Here is a 19,642-nt window from a genome sequence, read left to right on the forward strand (position 1 = left end):
AAGGACTTTTTTCCCACATTTTCCCTTCACTTCCCTTCACCTGTTACTACAAAGAGTGGATCCATCCTGTATCATCACAGGGAATGTTCCCCCTCTCTTTAGGGACTAGCCCAGATGTTCTATACATCTTGGGTCTGTCTGACATTGCCATCACTTACAATTATCCTGCAAATCCAGCTTTCAAGCTCTGGCAGTGTTATGGGATATCCCCCCAAAATTCATACGTTGAAATCCTAGCCCTCAGGACCTCAGAATGTGACTGTATTGGGAGACAGGGTCTTTAAAGAGGTAAACTGAAATGAGGTTACTAGGATGGACCCTAATCCATTATGACTGCTGTCTTTACAGGAAGAGAAGATTTGGACATGACACATACAGGGGGAAGCCCACAGGGAGAAGATGGCTGTCTGCAATTCAGAAGAGCAGCCTCAGAAGAAACCAACCTGCCAACATCTTTATCTGCGACTTGCAGCCTCCAAAACTGTGAGAAAATTAATTTGTTGTTTAAGCATCCAGAATGTGAGACTTTGTTACAGCAGCCCTAGCAAATTAATACAAGCAGCAAACAACCAGATGTCCCGCTTGAAAACCTCATCCAAGAAATAGAAAAATAAATGTTGTGGGAATGATGTTTGATGGCGGGGTTTTATTCTGCAGTTGCCTACAGGAATGACAACAGAAAACTGTAAGACGGTGTATTTCAAAATGAGCTCTGCAGAAAACCAGTATGAAAGGCTCTGAAAAAATAGAAATAATAAATTTTCAAGAACACCGAGTTTGGGAAAATTTATATACTCTAATGCCCTCCTACCCACCTTTTAAAAACTGTAATGCTTATTTAGAGATTTGAGAAGTCCCAGAGAAAAGCCAGCATTCTGTTATTACAAAGGGAGATGAGCAGTCTTTAGCCTCCACAGTCTTTAGCCTGCAGCTGAACTGGGGTTCAATGAAGCCCACGTTCTGACATCTTTACTTGGCAGTCCCTCTGTGTCTGACATTGGTTCCTCCCAGTGGGTTATTGGTCTTGCTGACTTCAAGAATGAAGCTGCGGACCCTTGCAGTGAGTGTTACAGTTCTTAAAGATGGTGTGTCCGGAGTTCATTCCTTCAGATGTTCAGATGTATCTGGAGTTTCTTCCATCTGGTGGGTCTGTGGTCTCGCTGACTTCAGGAGTGAAGCTGCAGACGTTCGCAGTGAGTGTTACAGCTCTTAAACATGGCAGTCTGGAGTTGTTTGTTCCTCCCGGTGGGTTTGTGGTCTCACTGACTTCAGGAATGAAGCTGCATACCCTCGCGGTGAGTGTTATAGCTCATAAAGCTAGTGCGAACCCAAAGAGTGAGCAGCAGCAAGATTTATTGTGAAGACCAAAAGAACAAAGCTTCCACAGCGTGGAAGGGGACCCCAGTGCGTTGCCTCTGCTGGCTTGGGTGCCCAGTGTTTATTCCCTTACTTGGCCCCACCCACCTCCTGCTGATTGGTCCATTTTACAGAGTGCTGATTGGTCCGTTTTACAGAGTGCTGATTGGTGTGTTTTTACAGATTGCTGATTGGTGTGTTTATAATCCTTTAGCTAGACACAGCACTGATTGGTGCATTTACAATCCTTTAGCTAGACACCAAAGTTCTTCAAGTCCCCACCCACCCAGAAGATCAGCTGGCTTTACCTCTCACCTCCAGTATGCAAAGAGCCAGCAGGGAAGAGATTGAGTTTAGATGAGAAAAGAAGCAGGTTGTGCTTGGGCAGCCAGCAGGGCCCTATAAATCTGCATGAAAATGCTGCTCAGAACAGAGAGGGCACATTTCAATAATTAGCACATACTTTAACACCAGCTCATGTCTGTCACAGACAGGAAATTGTAACTTCTGTGTACTGGGCCGTTGTTCAAAGCTGTTGTCAGGGTTAACGATGTACCTGCTTGATTATTGGTAGCTGGAAATTGAGGTTGTGCTCACATGTCCATAGGTCTTGCATTCCTCAGAGCTCAGAGACTGCCGTGCTCACATGAGAAAGGGCACAGCATGTTAGTAGAGGGGAGCAAAGAGGGAGGCTGGGAGAGGAGGCTGAGGCCAGATGCTGCAAAGACATGGATAAATCTCAGGAGGCTGGACTTGCTCTGGCAGGGAGTGGGGAGATGATGAAGGACACTGAGGTGTGAGGGTGGCCTTTGGTTTTAATCAAAATGAAGCCCATGCTGGCATCTAACTAAGATAATAGCACCAAGGGAAGGAATGGGAAGCCGGGGAGCTAGAAAGCAGGTATAGTAGGAGAAAGTTCTGACCCAAAGGCTTTGGGCAGATTTGAGGAATGTGAAGAAATTTGGGGATGAACAGGTTCTTTGTGGTTTGATGGGACAGACAGGAGGATGCATTGCCTGTCACTTGATCAGGGAGTCAAAGGGGAGCAGGGCTTGGACCAAGAGAGGTTCTGTATTAAATGTCAAGTGTTTATAAATCAGGGTGAGAGTCCCTCTTGCTGAATCTGCCTCTTTTATCTTGGCTGTTCCACAACATAGATTCCATTGTGCAAATGATCATATGGACATTGTGTGATATTCTAAGCCAAAAAGTGACTCTGGCAGTTCCAGCCCATGAGTATCTTTTGGCAGAGTTCTAGTGTGAGAAGGAGTTCCTGTGCAGCACTGTCTGTCTGACTCAGCTCTGCAGGAACGGCTGGAACCACAGAGCTCATGAGGGTACACTGTTCACAGGCAGGGCTCACACACGCTCTGCCCCCAGCTCCCACGCCTGAGCAGGTCACACCAACTTTGAGGCACTACCCTGAGCCTAACATGTTTTAAAATGTGAATCATGCTTCAAGTGACTCTTTTGAGATTGGCAGGGATGGAAAGAGTCCAAGTTTTAAACTTAGTTTAAGTTTTAATTGTAGAGATGACAACTGACACAGATATGTCAGAAAAACATGTTGGAATGTCTCGACTGGCAGTGGTAATTCTGTGAGCTCAGTTCACATTGCTCTGGCCTCTGACTTGTAACATTTAGGAACCTGTGAAACATACAAATCTATGCACATGAAAAATCCAGGCACTAAGAACTCAGCCTTGATTAGCCATTAAGTGTGCTCTCCGTAGAAGGGGAAAATAACATTGTAAGGAATATGTTTAATCTTTGTAACCAAATCCATGGTTTTTAACATGGAATATGGAAATTGGTGCCACTAATTATAGTCATTTTTATCAGTTCATTGAAGTTGGCTCAGCAGGCTCTGTTTCTCCCACTCTTCTCTGGCACCACATTTAATTGTCCTGTGTAGTGTAAGGTCTGTAGAATGAAACAGCACTCCTTTTCAAATAGTGTCTAATGTGAGCCTCAGTGATCCAGACCAGACTCTGCAATGCCCAGCAGCCTGGGTGAGAAGTTTGAAGAGTTTGTGAGAACAACGATGTCTTGAATGGGCCATGAGGAACACTGCAACTCTGCTTTTAGATGGATTTCCACTTTTCTTTTCTGCAAGCGTTTTGGAGAGGTAGCATGATGCACTTCTCTGAACAAAATATTTTCATAAGTTATGTTAATGGAGAAATTTCTTTTGGGGCTTAAGTTTCTACTTACCTTTGTAACATATTTTTTTCAAAAAACAACAAGAAAAAAACCTCATTATCTTCCTCTCCCACAATCATAGCAGTAGAAAGGAGATAAGGCAAGTCCCACGTGGACCGGTGGCTGGGTGTGCTGCCAGGATAGATAAGGCGCCCCTTTTACAAACAGTCTTTAACATGCAGTCACACCCGCAATCTCGGTGCTGGGTAATAAGAATAATTGTGTTCATTACACAGTTGAATACAGGAACCTATTTCTGAAATGATTATTCTTGTCTAGAATTACACAGAATTCCACCGAGTGGCATATTCAAGAGAATTTTTATTAGGGGAATTCCAAGGAGCTGCTTAGTGGCAGAAAGAATTTATATTTAATTTGATTTCTCAGAACCAGGGTATTGTGGAGAAAGGCATCAGATAACCACGGAGTGCTGGTTAAGGGAGGGAAGCCTCACTAAGCAGGGTTCACGCGTTCAAGCCCCGCAGCCAACAAGCAATCGTTGAGACTGTCATTCGGGAGTGGGCACCAAGATGCCTCGGGATCCCAGTGAATTCATACTTCCTGCCTCTTATATCCTTGCATTTGGTTACAGAGGTGGCACATGCTTTATTACTGAGCCTGGTTGAAAATCACCTCTGGTCAGACCTTCACAGCTCACCTACGTGGGCCCAGGACTTGTGTGTAGAGAGGAATGAAGGGTTTTGTAAAAGCTTTTACCAGTGTGGAGAATTCTCCTTTTCTCATTTTGCTCTTGCATAAACAAAGATCTTTAAAACAGTTTATATCAGTAGAAAGTTCTATGAGACTACTGTGAGCACCTTTGCAGAAAAACAACTTAGCAGTAAATTCTGATGCTTGTCTGTAGTGTGTTAATGGTGGTCCCTGAAACGACATGTCCACGTCCTAGTCTGTGGGTGTGATCTTATTTGGAAAAAAAAGTCTTTGCAGATGTAACTGAGTTAAGGGTCTCAGGAGAAGCAGATAATCTTGGATTAATTTATGGGCCCTAAATCCAGTGATAAGAGACTCACAGAGAAGAGACACAGAGAGAAGAGGTGAGGGCCATTGAAGGTGGAGGCAGAGACTAGAAAGAGGCTGCCCCAAGCCAAGGAGCACCTGGAGCCACCAGAATCTGAAAGAAGAAGGAAGAGTTATTTTCCAGAGCCTTGGGAGGGAGCATGGCCCTGCCAACATCTTAATTTCAGCTTCTGGTGTCCAGAGCTGTGACAGAATGCATTTCTGTTATTGAAGCCACCAAGTGTGTAAGAATCTGTTACTGCAGCCTCAGGACACTATCGCATGTTCTCATCTTTAGGCGTGGGGTAAGCTTCTCTTCTTCATTCTCCTGGGCTTTAGTGCACCACAGTGTAAACACCACATCTTACACTTCCTCATTATCCAACAACAGTCTCCAAGGCTGGGATGGTTGAGTCTGCAAATCACGTTTGAGAGTCAGAGGATGTCAGAGCTGGAAGGGGTCTCAGTCTCCTCTTAAAGAGAAGATGTTGGGCAAGATACTCCCTTGGATCTGAATTCTAGACCTGTCCTTTCACTCATGGGCTAAGTGCTTTTGCAAGAAGGTGGTAGATGTTTTTTTCCAGGTTGTGCTAGCTTGGTCTAGAAAGCTCCCAGGATCTGGTTCTAGTTGTGTCCCTCTGTAACCTCACCTTCCACCCCCACCTCCCGGATCTCCAGCCACAGGAACTTTTCTGAACATGTTCTGATCCTGCTGTTCATATGCTTTTCTCCACACCAGGCTGAGAGAGGGACAAAGCATCCTTTAAACCCAGATCCCTGTCCACAGGCCTTTCCCTGATCCTCCAGGTGGGGTCGCTCTTCCCCCGCTCCCTCTGTGCATTGTATGCAGTGTGTGGATTCTACCACACTCTAGGGCTACTCACAAGGCCCAGCAGACCTGCAGGGTCTGTCCCCAACCTTCCTCCTAGAGTGACCTCTCATCACTTCAACTGCAGCCCCTCAGATGCACCAGGACCCCTCCTGCCATGGGGCCTTTGCAGATGCTGTGCTTTCCCTAAAGTCCTCTACTCCTCTTTACAATGGCCTTGGATTATAGTTAAAATGTTCCACATCTTTGTTGGGATTAATTGTTCAATGTCTGTGTCTTCACTGGGCAGCAAGCTCCATGGGGGCATAGATTATGATGGATTTTCTCCTAGTATAGAGCCCCAGCATGTAGCAGATCTAACAAACAAAGACTTGGTGACTATATGTTAAATCTATGTAGATGATCCTCCATGACTTTATGAGCTCCTCAAGGGTAGGGTCTTCTTAATTTTATATCTCTAGCATTTACTACAGAGCCTAAGCTCAGGTACTATTTTGGTTAGCATTCATTGGCTAGGTGAACAAAATTCTCCTTTTCTAGAGTTTAGTTTTCTCAACTAGAAAACTTGGGAGGTAGACAAGTTCAGTATTCCTTACACTCTTTTTTAAAATGGTCATAGCTTCTTCGATGGGGCAAAGGTCCCCTTTTTTTCTAAGCTAACTTGTCCCACTTACCAGTAAAAAAGTAACAAGCCAAATAACAACAAAGAATTGGATAGAAATATAATAATTTAAAATATTCACTCATGCTTTTTTTTGGCTGGCAACCCTCTTGTTCTTTTTGCCTTCTTTTTTTTCTTCCATTCTCTCTATTAATTGTCAGATTCAAACTAGACCAGAGTTTTCCATCACCTTAAAGAAAAAATTGTTGCTGCAGAAAGGCAAAGAGAAAAAAAAGTCAGTTCTCACCTCTCAACTTCAAACCAGACTATTGAAACCAATGGCTTGGTGTCACCAGGGGCCCTTCTGGAAGCAGACACACAGAGCTGAAATTGAGAGTTTAATGAGTTAAGGAGCTATTTACAGAGATTTGGGCCACGTTCAGGGTAACACATAGCCACTGGCATCGGGACGCCTTTATCACCTTAAGCTAGAGGAGTGAAAGGGAAGAGAAAGTGTGTTAGGTTGTCCTTGCATTGCTATAAAGAAATACCTGAGGATGGGTAATTTGTAAGAAAAGAGGTTTCATGGGCTCATGGTTCTGCAGGCTGTACAAGAAGTAGAGTGGTATCTACTTCTGGGGAGGCCCCAGGGAGCTTTTACTCATGGTGGAAGGTGAAGCAGGAGCAAGAGAGAGAGGGAGCAGGTGCCACATACTTTTAAACAGCCAGATCTTCTGAGAAGTCACTCACTATCACCAGGACAGTTCCAAGGGGATGGCACTAAGCCATTTATAAAAAAAAAAAAAATCACCCCCATGATCTAATCACCTCCCAGCAGGCCCCCCTGTGACATTGGGAATCACATTTCAACATGGGGTTCAGATGGAGACACAGTTCCAAACCATACCAGAAAGCCTAGCAGAAAGGACTGCTTGGCAGGAGCTGTGACATTCAGCCGGGGACCCAGCAGGGATGGAGCTGGAGGAAGACATGCCCCTCTTTGTGCTTGTCTTCCTTTAGACTCTGCTAGGGCCACCCTTGCCTAAACTCATCCAGGAACCAGGAGGCAAGGGAGCCATGGATAAAGCCCTTGCAGCGGAGCCACCCAGAGCAGAGTGAGGGGCAAAGCGAAGGCCTCCAGAATGGACCAACACTGGCTTCAGAGAAGGAAGCTTAGAAGGACCTCAGCAATGCATTTATGCCACAGCAATAAATGTGGGAAAAACATAATAAGAAGTTCTCAGAGCCAGTTTTCCCTCCCTCTCCCATCTTCATCCCTCAAAACAGATAAAGACCCTTGAAACTGGGGCAAAGGACAGGCATTCGGGGTGGAAGGTAGTGGGTGGCAGGGTTGAAGAAGCCCACTGAGGGCTCTGTCATACTGAAGTAAAAGTGAGACTCCACTCTAGAGGTGAGGCTCAGACACTGGACCAAATTAAGGACTGGCTAAAATAGGGCCTGGGCGGAAGCAGCTTTCCATAAGACATACCCACCAGTGTGCCACATCAGCTTACCATTACCGTGGCAACACCTGGCAGTTACCGCCCCTTTCTATGGCAATGACCCAATAACCTCAAAGTTACCACACTTTTTCTAAAAGTTCCTGCATAAACTACCCCTTAATCTACATGTGATTAAAAGTGGGTGTAAACATGCATGCAGAACTGCTTAGAGGTGCTGCTACTCTCAGTGCACTGCTCATGGGGTAGCCCTGCTCTGCAAGAGCAGTCGTGGAGCTGCCACATTGCTGCTTCAGTAAAGCCATTTTCTGCTGGGCGCAGCCAAGAACCCTCAAAGGCTGAGCCCCACTTAAGGGCTCACCTGCCCTGCATCAATATCCCCTGGGCTGAGTTCCTTAACAATAAAGAACTGAAGCCCTAGATTAACGCCAGAAGCTGAGTGCCTGGGGAGCCTGAACCATACTTCCAGTGGAGCCTAGGGAACCAACAAGTCTCCTGAGGGCCTCCAGCACCAGCAGGGTGTGTCAGCATCGGAGCTGTGGTGGAGTCTAATCAAGGCACCAGAGCCCCCCAGCCCATGTTTCCTGCAGGCCCATGCAGGGCAGGAGAGATCCCTTTAAGTTCCATGTGTTTCACCTGTGTACACCCCAAGAAGGTATAGAGGTTGCTGAGACCAGAGGTCAGGGGGACCATGGAGGTCACTCAGCAGATGTCAACATTCACAGACAATGATGCTTAAAAGCCAGACCGCACACATGAGCTTCTTGAAGTTCTTCTGCAACTTCCCTGAGGAGGAGAGGGGAAAACTCATGCAAAGACTGAATTTACTCATTTACTAACATGAAGTTTCAGCTCTGGTAGGGAAGGGAGGTTGAGAGAGAAACTAAGTTCAGCTATAGAAACATCAAGCTGTGTTTCTTTCATGCACACCTGAGTTGTGGCCCTGTTCAATAGACGTCTCCTCGATTGGATCAGGTGAGCCTTTGTGTGGCCCAGCAAGGCTTCAGAACTCACTTGTAAAAGTATAGAAAGGACAGGTATCACAAGAGAGGGGACACTTGCCTGGCCTCCCCATCCTTTCCTCTGTCATTTAGCTTTTGTTTGGAATATAGGGTAAGTAAAAAGATTAAAAGCCCCACATGACCTTGGAACTTCATCACTTAGATGGTAGAGAGACTCATAATACACAACATGCCTTTGAAACCATTTTACCCTCTGGCCTGTGTCACCGGGAAAAATCTCTCTCATTGTTCTGCTGGCCCCTGGCCATAGGCCCACACCTTGGAATCCTAGTTTCCAGTCCACTGAAGCTGGTTGATAATAAAAAATGAATCCATTAAGTTTGTACCTGAATTTTTTCCTGCAAGCATCTAAGGAACTGATACCATCTTCTTACCAAAAAATATCTCACTTCTACTGCATTTCATCAGAGTTACAAGGGATTACAGCTAAGTCTGTAAGGGAATAATAAAATGCAAGAAACGGAAGATCATTTAGGGCTGAGAGATGAGTTAATTCAGATAAGAAAATGAAGACCCAAGGAGAAAAAAATTATTTCCCAAAGACCACCTTCTAAGTTAAAGACTTAAATCAGGCCTCTTGATTGAAAGACCAAAGTCTTTTCTTTCTGCCATTTTGACTCCCCACACCACCACAGTCTCCATCTACATCAGGAAGTTATGGCTGGCACCTTCCACAGATGGACCTGAGTACTCTGTCTACCCCAGGCCCCATACTCAGCACTGGGGGATTACATGAGGAGGAAGACAGACCTGGTCGCTGCCTTTGAAGTGTATATACCTGCCTGCATTGAACTGGATCAAGAGTCCTGATTTAGGTTATTTGGAGTGGCTGGTGCATTCCAAAAGCATCTTTCTTAGCAAGCTGAGACCAATCAAAGGGTTGATGCCCAAATCTCATCTGTGCAAGCATGAGAAGACACCATCAGCTTTGGACTTTCCATGTCCTGGTTAAAACCAGTAGACAATTTGTGCCTCCCTAAATGAAGAACTTAGTGAGTGGTTGGAAAGATGGCTGAAGCCATCATTGGTGTAAGCATTGTCAAGGGCATGCCTGTATGGTTGCTTGCACTCAGGCTGATGTTTAGTGTAACATTTTAAAGATCTGCTGGGAGGGAGGCTTCGGGGCTAAATGATACTAAGAGTCCACCTCAGGAAAAATGCTTTGGTAGCCGATGAGGACTGTGTTCTGAAAACTCAACCACTGCACTCCCCACGCCCTATGCACAGGTTTCTATGGGACCCTTGAGTCCTCCACACCTGCCAGTGCAGGCAGCCAGGGCTTTCCAACCCCACACCCCAGGAAAAGGGTTCCTAGATACCAGAGCAAAGAAAGGCAGTGTGGGATTTATAGCTTCAAAATAGTCTTTGGATATAAAGAGTCTTGATTTGTAGAGACAATTTTTTGATGCACTAAAGTCTCAAGAGGCCTGGCATGGTGGCTCACGATTGTTATTCCAGCACTTTGGGAGGCCAAGGTGGGAGGATGACTTGAGGCCAGGGATTGGAGACCAGCCTGGCCAACCTAGTGAGACTCCATCTCTACATTTTCTTAAAAAAATTAGCCAGGTATGGTAGCATATGCCTGTAGTCCCAGCTACTCAAGAAGCTGATGCGGGATGATTGCTTGAACCCAGGAGTTCAAGGCTGCAGTGAGCCCTGATTATACAATTGCACTCCAGCCTGGGCAACAGAACTTTGTTTCTTAAAAAAAAAAAAAAAAAAAAAAAAAAAAGGAAATCGTTATCCTTTAAGAGTTTCTCCTTGCCCTTTAGATGAGACACTAACTTCTACTGCATCTATAAATCCCCACATCCCCTCTCCTCAGTTTCCAACCTCATCTCCTGCACTTTCCCTCCTGCCAGCCCTGCTTGGCAAGGCCTTCAGCTCCTCACACACAAGCCTCTGCCCTGCATGGGGCCTTGTGCAGTCTCTTCCCTCCCTTGGAACTCTTCCACCTGCTTCCCCTGTCTGTATTTGTCCTCTTTGATTCCTGTTTCAGCCTTTTAATGTCACTTCCTCAGAGAGAGCTTTGCTGATCTTCCAGTCTAGCTCCTGGTTGCTAGTGACTTCCCCTCTAGTTTTCCTGCATGGCAGTTCATGAAACTCTTAGCATGCTTCAGCGCGTGTCCCTTCTGTTAAATGCCTGCCTTCCATAAGCTCGCGAAGCCGGGCAGAACTTGACGGTGGCTCTCTGGTTTCAAAGATCTCCACCCTTGTCACTACACAATGCTCCTGAAGAAATGAATCTGAAAGAAACAAAGAAGCAGAAAGTATACATCAAGCCTATGTGGAAGAGGGCCACTGTAATGATGTCTGAAGCTCCTGTGGGCCTCTCCCTACCTGGCAGGAGAAGTTCACTGTGCCTCAGGGACCTCAGGGAGGAGACAGGGTGCTGAGCATGGCTTTGGTGTGACCCTGGGATGTCACCCAACCTTGTTCCTGGCCCATCCACAGCCCCTGCTTGCCATAGAGCCAAGTAGCTTCCTTATGCAGTAGGAACTCTTATCCCCATTTATCAGAGAAGCAAGCCAAGGTGAGCAATGGACAGACCTGGAGCTGCCAGCATGATCATGTGATTGCAAACCCTGAGCTCCTTCCAATAACCATGTGTCTTATAAATAACAGTGATGGTGTGAGCTGTGCCCAGCACCACTGAAAAACAAAATGCCCTAGAGACAGTAATGTCAAATGGAGAGACAGACAGGTAGACAGACAGACAGGTAATCTCCCCTTTGCTACCACTCAGGATGTTGCTTCCTCTCAGTCTATTTCCCAAATCCTCCTTTCCCCGCACCCCATAATCTTGTCAGGGCTTACCTCCTCCCTATGCTCTGCGCTTTCATTAATTTTTTTATCACCTATCCCTCAGCTGTAATCTAGGACTTTGTAGGGACAATTAATTAAAGTGAGGAGGTTCTTAAAAGGAGGTATTGACCTGCAAGTCAGCCCTTTCTGTCTGCAGAATTAATCTTCAGATTACGGGTCAAGAGGAGACATCTTTAAAAAAGTGCCCAGCCAATCGATTTTTCAGATGTGTTCAGGAAGTCTCAACAGCTGTGTATGAACCCGATTGCATATCCTGCTTACTGCCTAAGAAAAGCATACCCCACTGAGTACACGTGAGAGTGCAGCTTGTTTGAAGAATCTGTTGCTGTAGAAGGATTAAAGGGAAGACAAAGATAAAATGTGTATTTTAAAAAGCATCTATTGATCTATCTATCTAGCTATCTATTATATATATATTTCCGGTCCTCAATCCTGGGCAGGGTGTGTGCTGTCAGAGATGGGCAAGGATGGGTGCCAGCCATTGGAGAGCTGTTCCAGGGAGGGAGCCGGACCTTAGCCAGCCCAGGCAGCACCAGAGAAAGACTCATCCAACACTGAAATAGACGGCCCCAGTGTGCGCGTTACAATAGCAGGTGAGTAAAACTGTCTATTGTACACATGCGGATATAGGAGCTTTGCAATTATCTAGCCTAATGTGCAGATAAGGAAATCGGGGCCCTGGTAGGTACATGACTTTCTCAGTCTTGCTGTGTATGGTCCATTCCCCAAACTGAAATTCAGGACCTCTGACACCCAGGCTGGGCTCTAAGACATGCTGCCATTTCTCAGGGGAGCAATTGAGAGAAGCAGCCAGGCATTTTCCTGTCTGACCCCAACACCAGGGTTCTAATCTCCCTTAAGCTCACACAGCACCTCCCCAACCACTTTTGTGGAGAGAACAAAAAGAAAGATGTCGATTTACCCGGAGAGCATCTGTCACTAATAGTAACATGCGGCCTTCACTGAGGGTTAACTGTATGCAGGTGTCGTTCTTATCTTCTTACAAGTATTAGTCCATTTACAAATAAAGTGTGGGAGGCTTAGAAAGGTCAAGTGGCTTGTCTAAGCTCACAGAGCAAGTCAAAGCTGGAACCAGAATTCTGGGATTAGTCCTGTGTTGCAACAATTCTTTATTGCCTCAACGGACAAGGTGCACATCAATTTGAATTACTTCAGCTAAGCTGAGTGACTTGATTCCTGTTCCTTACATTGATGAGGATGCCAGGCCTGTGCCTAACCCTTATCAGGAGCTGGAGAGCACAAATGAAGGGACAAAGAGAAGTACACGGTAGCCGAGTATAGTGAACAAAATCTCCCGCTTAGGTCAAACAGGGGCACGGTTGTGTTCTGCCTCATCTCAAGAAAAGTTAGGACCTAAGCTCCATGATCATCGGTTTTCTCATCTCTAAAACCGGCATAATAACATTCACCTTTTAGGGTTCCCAGGGATCTTGGATTAGTCTGCACACATTTCCAGGAACATTCCAGGCACCTGGGGAGCAGTACAGCTCCTTCAGGAGGTCCTCGATCATCATGAACAGATGTTAGTAATCATGACTGACACAGATGCTGCCTACGGGATGATGACGGTGGTGATGGTGATGATAAAGTTGTGGTTACGCTGCTGCTGTGATGATGGGATAACAGTGAGGACACAAGAAAGAACACGGCTCTGCCATGTCAGGACCATTTAGGTCAGTGGTTCCGAACCAGGAGTGATTTCACCCACAGGGGATGTTTGGCAATGCCTGGAAACACTTTTAGTTGTTCACACTGTTGGGGGAGGTGCTATTGGAATCCAGTCGTGGGGGCCAGGGACCTTCTTAAGCACCCTATAATGCATAGGAAAGCCCCCACAAGAAAGAATGGTCCAGCCAAAATGTCTGTGGGGCCCAGGTTAAAAAACCCTGGTCTAGGAGGACAGAAAACCTGAACACTGGAAGTGAGAGATTGAAGCTTCCAGGAGCCTTGTTGACTACTTAACAAACCCCTTTCAGCTGCTGCTTTAAACCATACAGGAATCTGCACCTTAAAGGAAGAGGGCAGAGTTGTTGACAGTCAGGAAGACTATGGTGAAGCCGTTCCATGGGACCTCCTCCCTCTATTTGCCGGGCAGCCTGGTGCAGCTGCGTCCCCGGCCCCTCCAAGTCCACGTGGAAACTGTCCCCTGGTTGTCTAGATGTGCAAAAGGGTGTCTGCAGGAGCAGTCTTGCTCTCCCAAGCCTCTGACACTGTGACAGGTGGACAGAAGCAGGAGCGGGAGGAGGAGGGGAGAGGAGGAGGAGAGCCACCCATAAATGAAAGAACAATGGAGCATCGATCAGCACTTTTTCACAGCAGGGGAGCTGCTTTGCTGAGCCCCAGCACTGTCAGACAGACCAGACCCTTGATTAAACCTGTGCAACTGCTGGCATGGATGGCCGTGCTTAGCTCCCATCAGCAACTCTGCCAGAAAGAAGAGGCGCCACAGAAGTTATGAAGGGGCCCAGGGCTGGCAGCTGGGTATCTGGAGGGCTGGTACCCTCTTCCCTCCACCAGAGCTGGCTCCAAATTTCAGACTCAAAGCAGAAAGTTTATTCTGTATTTTTCCAGGAGATGGGGCTGGTTGGAGGTGAGAGCACAGGGAAGGCTAGATTCCCTGGGAATCCCCTGTTGTTTTCCTCTCTGGGAGGCCTTGGTGTGCAGGTTCCAGACACTGCCCTAGTTCTCATCATAGGGCAGGGACACGGGGAGTCCTCACCAAATTCCAAATGCCTCCACAGAGAGGGAGGCTCCGTGTGGTGATGAAACCTGCTCTGTTCATTTCGTCATTTGGAATTCTCTTGGATGGCCTGTGAGTTTTCTGTTATAGAATCAAAAACCACATTTTCTTAAAAGATGACAGACTGTGGTCTGTTCTGCCTGAGACCCCCATGTGATGCCAGAGAAGCCACAACTCGCAGGCCCTGCATCACCTGCTGCTGTGTGCAGATGAGGAAGTCTGTCTTCCTGGAGGGGGTTCTTATGAGCACAAACAGTGACGAACGACGTTAAATGCATGATGAAAAACTAAGCCACCACAGAAAGCCAGCTGCTCACCCCATAGAGGCACAGAAAGCTGGCTGCTCACCCCACAGAGGCACAGAAAGCTGGCTGCTCACCCCACAGAGGGAGAGCACTTTGTGGATGATACCTGATTTTTTTCTTTCTTTTCTTTCTTTTCTTTTCTTTCTTTCCTTTTCTTTCTTTTCTTTTTTTCTTTCTTTCTCTTTCTTTCTTCCTTCCTTCCTTCCCTCCCTTCCCTCCCTTCCTCCCTTCCTTCCTTCCTTTCTTCCTTTCTTTTTTTGACAAAATTTCACTCTGTTACTCAGGCCAGAGTGCAGTGATGGGATCACAACTCACTGTAACCTCGACCTCCTAGGTTCAAGCAGTTCTCCTATCTCAGCCTTCTGAGTAGCTGGGACTACAGGTGCACAACACCACACCCAGTTTATTTTTTTGATTTTTGGTAGAGGGTGTTGCTGTGCTGTCCAGGCTGGTCTTGATCTCCTGGCCTCAAGTGATTATCCCACCATGGCCTCCCAAAGTGTTGGGATTACAAGTGTGACCGCCATGCCTGGCCAAGACCTGCTTCTTAATCATTGTTGGATTCACAGAGCTTCACACTGTGCCATCCATGGTACCATAGAGAGAAAGGAAAGCACTTGTAAATGTGTATGTTACTGCCCCCGCTACCTCCCAGGGAGGTGAATCCCTCATCAGGGGCCTCTGCTGAGTGGATGATGGGTATGGAGATGGGAGGGAGGGGAATCCCTCATCAGGGCCTCTGCTGAGGGGGTGATGGGTATGGAGATGTGGGGGAGGGGAATCCCTCATCAGGGCCTCTGCTGAGGGGGTGATGGGTATGGAGATGCAGGAGAAGAGGAGTTGGTACAGAGCTGAATTGTCCAACATACAACAGAGAAATAAATGAAAAGTAAGGCAGTGGCTAACATGGGGTTTGGGTGGGGCCAAGGAAAATTGAGTAGCTGGCAGGCGGGTAGCAGGAAAGGGGAACGACGGGGGCTGCGATGTTACAGGGTAGGTTCTGAAGTTGTCTGACAGGTGGTGAGTGATAGAGACCTTTTTCTTGATCTCCCAGTGAAAACTTTAGTAATCACACGACTGCCACTTTTGTAAAAGGGGCTTGCATTTGGGGGCTGCAAGGTTGGCGCAAGGTTAGATCCGGGGTTGCCCGTGGGAGACCTGCCACAGCCAGGCTGCATGGGAACAGAGCACTCGCTTCTTCTCATGGCTGTGCTGGTGCATGGCAGCCCCTGACTCAGGTCCACAGTCTGACACTGCCAGGTTCAAGGTTGGACTTTACCCCTGGCCCAGATCTCCCACAGGCTACTTATTCCTATCTCCTTCCAAATTCAGCAACTCATTACACCACCTTGAAGAAGATGGGGCAGAGCGGAGGGGAGGCTAGAGGGACAATCCCAAAAAGAGCCCTAAATCTACATCAGATTTTCCTTTTAACTAAAATCTATTTGGTATTCAGCAGAAATTTTGAGTCTAGTGTTTGACATAATTTAATAGTGTGCATTAATGACTATAATTTTCCCCTGTAGTCGAGATACTAAGAAAATGAGACGTGCTTCATCTACACCACACACAACAGTAACCAGGACAGACTTGGAAATGACAGTAAAGAACAAAGTCCGTGAGGGCCAACAGCTTGTGGGGAACTTCAGAGACACGCAGCACTCCACATAGAAAGCACATTCCACTCCAGTTGTAAGAAGGTTTGAGCCTCCCTGGTATTTGTTACGTTCTTTTACGCTGACTACATTTCTGTGTGGTGAGTAAAACCATTCTCATTGTGCAGGTGCCAAAGCTGAGGCCAGAGGGATTAGGAGATGGTATATGTCCAAGGATAACATTAAGATGTTTTAAGTTCAGTTTATTTTATTTTATTTTATTCTTTATAGACAGAGTCTTGCTCTGTTGCCCAGGCTGGAGTGTAGTGGCACAATCACAGCTCACTGCAACCTGGAACTCCTGAACTCAGGCAAACCTTCCTCCTCAGCCTCCTGAGTAGCTAAGGCTACAGGCATGCACCAACACACCTGGCTATTTTGTTATTATTATTATTATTATTATTATCATTATTATTATTATTATTATTATTCGTAGAGACAGGGTCTTGCTATGTTGACCAGGCTGATCTTGAACACCTGACCTCAAGCAATTCTTCCTCCTCGGCCGCCCTAAGTGCTGGGATTGCAGGCCTGAGCCACCATGCCAGTCCATAAAGTTTTATTTTAAGTCCTTAGATGTGGGATTTCCTTTTTAGAGCAGCAAGTACTACCTGAACTAAAACAGGTGGTCTTGCAACTTGCAATGGATTATGGAAATAGATGGCATCTATATTGGTGAGGTTCTCACCAAAACTCAAACAGAATAAATGTCATTTGAAGAACAAATCTCAACTTTAACTTTCTTTCATCCATGGGTAAGTGCTACATTTTTGAAAAAAATATGAATTTAAATAAAAGTAATTTATTGTGGTGAGAATATATATTACCTGTCACGAAACATGTCCTTCTGTATGTTAACTTACCCAGGCAAATGAAAACTTTAGTAAAAACATTTATGTCTATATCTGTCTTCTAAACTACACCTGTGTGTGTGTGCATGTGTGTGTGTGTGTGTGTGTGTTTTTGAGGGGTTCCTACTTTCTGATGTACAGGACTCTGAGGCCTGAATAGTTCATTGCCATAAACTGAGTTACTTCTTTTGGAAAAACATAAATTTTGTTATTTTAGTCTTCTTTAACTTTCATGTGTTTGACTTGCCTTAATTATATATTGGTAGAATTAAATGTTTCATGATCAGAATTTGGACTTTTGCACATGAGTCCACAAGTGTTGGAAGCTTTCTCAGGTGCAGCAATGCCAATCTCCAAAAGGTCCAACTCGGTAAGCCAGTGTTTGTGCCACTATTTATGTGTTTGTTATTTTACGCTTCAAAAAATAAATTAGAACAGAACAGAAAAATGATACTAGTAACAAAGATGTTTGTCCCATCACTGTAATATAATTAAGACCGAGATGGAATGGATCAATGAGCTGCATGCGTAAGTCTCCATCTCAAATAGACTTTCAAATGGTTGCATTATAAAGGAAAAAAAACTAGATTCAATGAAATGTGTTCAATATTATGCATAAAAGGCACAATGTATTCAGATATTTTATACTAGTTTTCGGCTTCTGGCAACAGAGCACATCCACCCAGCTACCACCACAGCTAAAACTATAATACTATTTGTTTTATGATGTCTTTTATACATGCTTTCAAGAACACATTATATACAAAATAGGTGTTTCTAATGTGCTTCACTTTTCCTGTGGCCTCCCAGAGGCTAAAAGCCACATTTGTAGCACAGTTTTCATGACCGTAGAGGCCCTGAAGGCCTGAATGTCATCTCTTCCCCACTGTTCACTCCTTTTACTGGTGTTATACCCCAACTCTATGGAACACTATTAAACATTTTCTTTGGCTCCAATGTTTTAAAACTCAATTGTCTTTGTTCAGTATGAATTTGTGATCTGTGTCAAATCCTCGTGTTGTGTAGTGAGGTGGGGAACAGGTGAAGGCATAGGGGTTGAGTAAAATGCTGAGCATGCAACAGGTGCTGGGCAAGTGACCGTGAATGCTGGGAGGACCCTTCTGCCTATTCTTCCATAATGGCAGAAGTGGACAAGCAGACATTAGTGTACAGTGAGACCACATCTATAGCATAGGTGTGCACAAGGTGACTGAAGACCTGGGAGAAGGATGTGTAAACCAGCAACTAGCGAAGGGCTCTTCAATAGCAAAACTCAAAGCATCCCTTCGGCATAGAATATCAACTATCTAAGGAGTAAAAATTTTAAGTTGACTTTTGGGTCTGGTTCAGCTGACAGAGTGAGCATGTATTTATTTCCTGTAGTGGATTGAATGTTTGTGCCATTCCAAAATTCATATGTTTAAATTCTAAACCCCAATATGATGGCATTAGAAGATGGGGCCTTTGGAATTTAATGAGCTCATGAAGGCTTGAGGTGGATATTCCATTCTCCCTTTGATTTTCCTAAATATTGCCCACATCTTTTAATATCTGTCTCCTTATCCAAATTTGCCCAATTACATAGTTAAGGGAACCATCTGAGACAGATAAACTCTGACAGAGAGTGCAGAATTTCAAATCTAGAAATTCGTACTCTTCTAAACTACTAAGAGAATAAGAAATAAGATGCATGTATATTATCTATGGTTATAAAAGTAACTGAAAGCATAACTAAAAATAAAGTTATACTGTTAAGAGAATGTGTGAGGAAGAGATGAGAGGGTCTAGAGAAGTGCAAAGAGCTAAGCTATTTGTCTTCCACATTAAAGTTAGGGGAAAAAAAAACTTTTATCTGAGAAATGTGAGCCCTTTCAAATTATCAGGCCTGGAGAGACATAAAAATGAGACAGCAATCATATCCTACTCCTGCTTTTGAGCTATGTATTTACCTATTGAAATGGCTTGCTATTGTCACATGCAGCTATGAATTAACCTAATAATGCCTCACCAGACACTATATTCCACACCCCACAGTACAACAATGTATAGCTGATCAGTGATCAGTTTTGTTTCTGTAAACCAATGAGAATTCCTGACAGGATTTTGCACACTCCCTTTCCCCCTTTCTTTTCTTTTCCTTTAAAAACATGCCTGTAACAAAGGCCGAACAAAGCTCATATCCAAGGTTACTTGGGTCTGAGCCTCCTGGGCAGCTTGTCCTTATTTTAGCATGCGAGCTGAAGACTCACAAGGCTCACAACTTTGGAAAGGACACCTTTATTTCTCATAAAGGGCTGCACCCTGCAGGCTGGCCATTCCACAGGCTGAGAAGCATAGCCTCCAGCAGAAGCCCAAAGCTTGAGGGAGGTGTGAAGGGAACAGGAATTTATGCTGAACAGGTTGGCTAAATATACATATTTAATAAGCTATAGAAGATGTCATGAATATCTGTGAAAGGAGAAACAGGCACATGTGCAATTGAGCTTCATGCCTCTTCGTGGGTCACATATTCAAAAAATGGTGATCTTGGCATGATCTAAGGAGTCTTTGGCCCTCTGATGTCAAAAAGTGACAAAGAGGGGAACACAAAAACTCTCACTGAGCATCCTCCACAAGTTGGCCAAAACTAGTCCAGAGTTGGTGGTCAGTTTTTAGGAAGGAAAGCATTGTGAAACTGCTGAGCTGCTGTGCCAAACGTGCAGAGAGGAAAGGAGAGTCCAGTTGTGGCCTCAGATGACTGGCTAAAGGTGATAGAAA

At 45.3% G+C, this 19,642-nt stretch overlaps 1 long non-coding RNA gene across 1 annotated transcript in view; it reads left to right on the plus strand.

Moving 5' to 3' along the window:
• LINC02987 (long intergenic non-protein coding RNA 2987) overlaps window positions 1-17,816 on the plus strand; it is a 231,539-nt gene extending 213,723 nt beyond the window's left edge. Inside the window, exons 5-7 of the long non-coding RNA NR_146733.1 lie at window positions 349-483; window positions 11,754-11,906; window positions 15,906-17,816. This is a non-coding gene — a long non-coding RNA (long intergenic non-protein coding RNA 2987). The remainder of the gene's footprint in view (window positions 1-348; window positions 484-11,753; window positions 11,907-15,905) is intronic.
• The last annotated feature ends 1,826 nt before the right edge of the window (window positions 17,817-19,642 follow it).

This window comes from Homo sapiens, chromosome 19 (assembly GCF_000001405.40).
Source record: "Homo sapiens chromosome 19, GRCh38.p14 Primary Assembly".
In the NCBI taxonomy this organism is placed as follows: domain Eukaryota; kingdom Metazoa; phylum Chordata; class Mammalia; order Primates; family Hominidae; genus Homo; species Homo sapiens.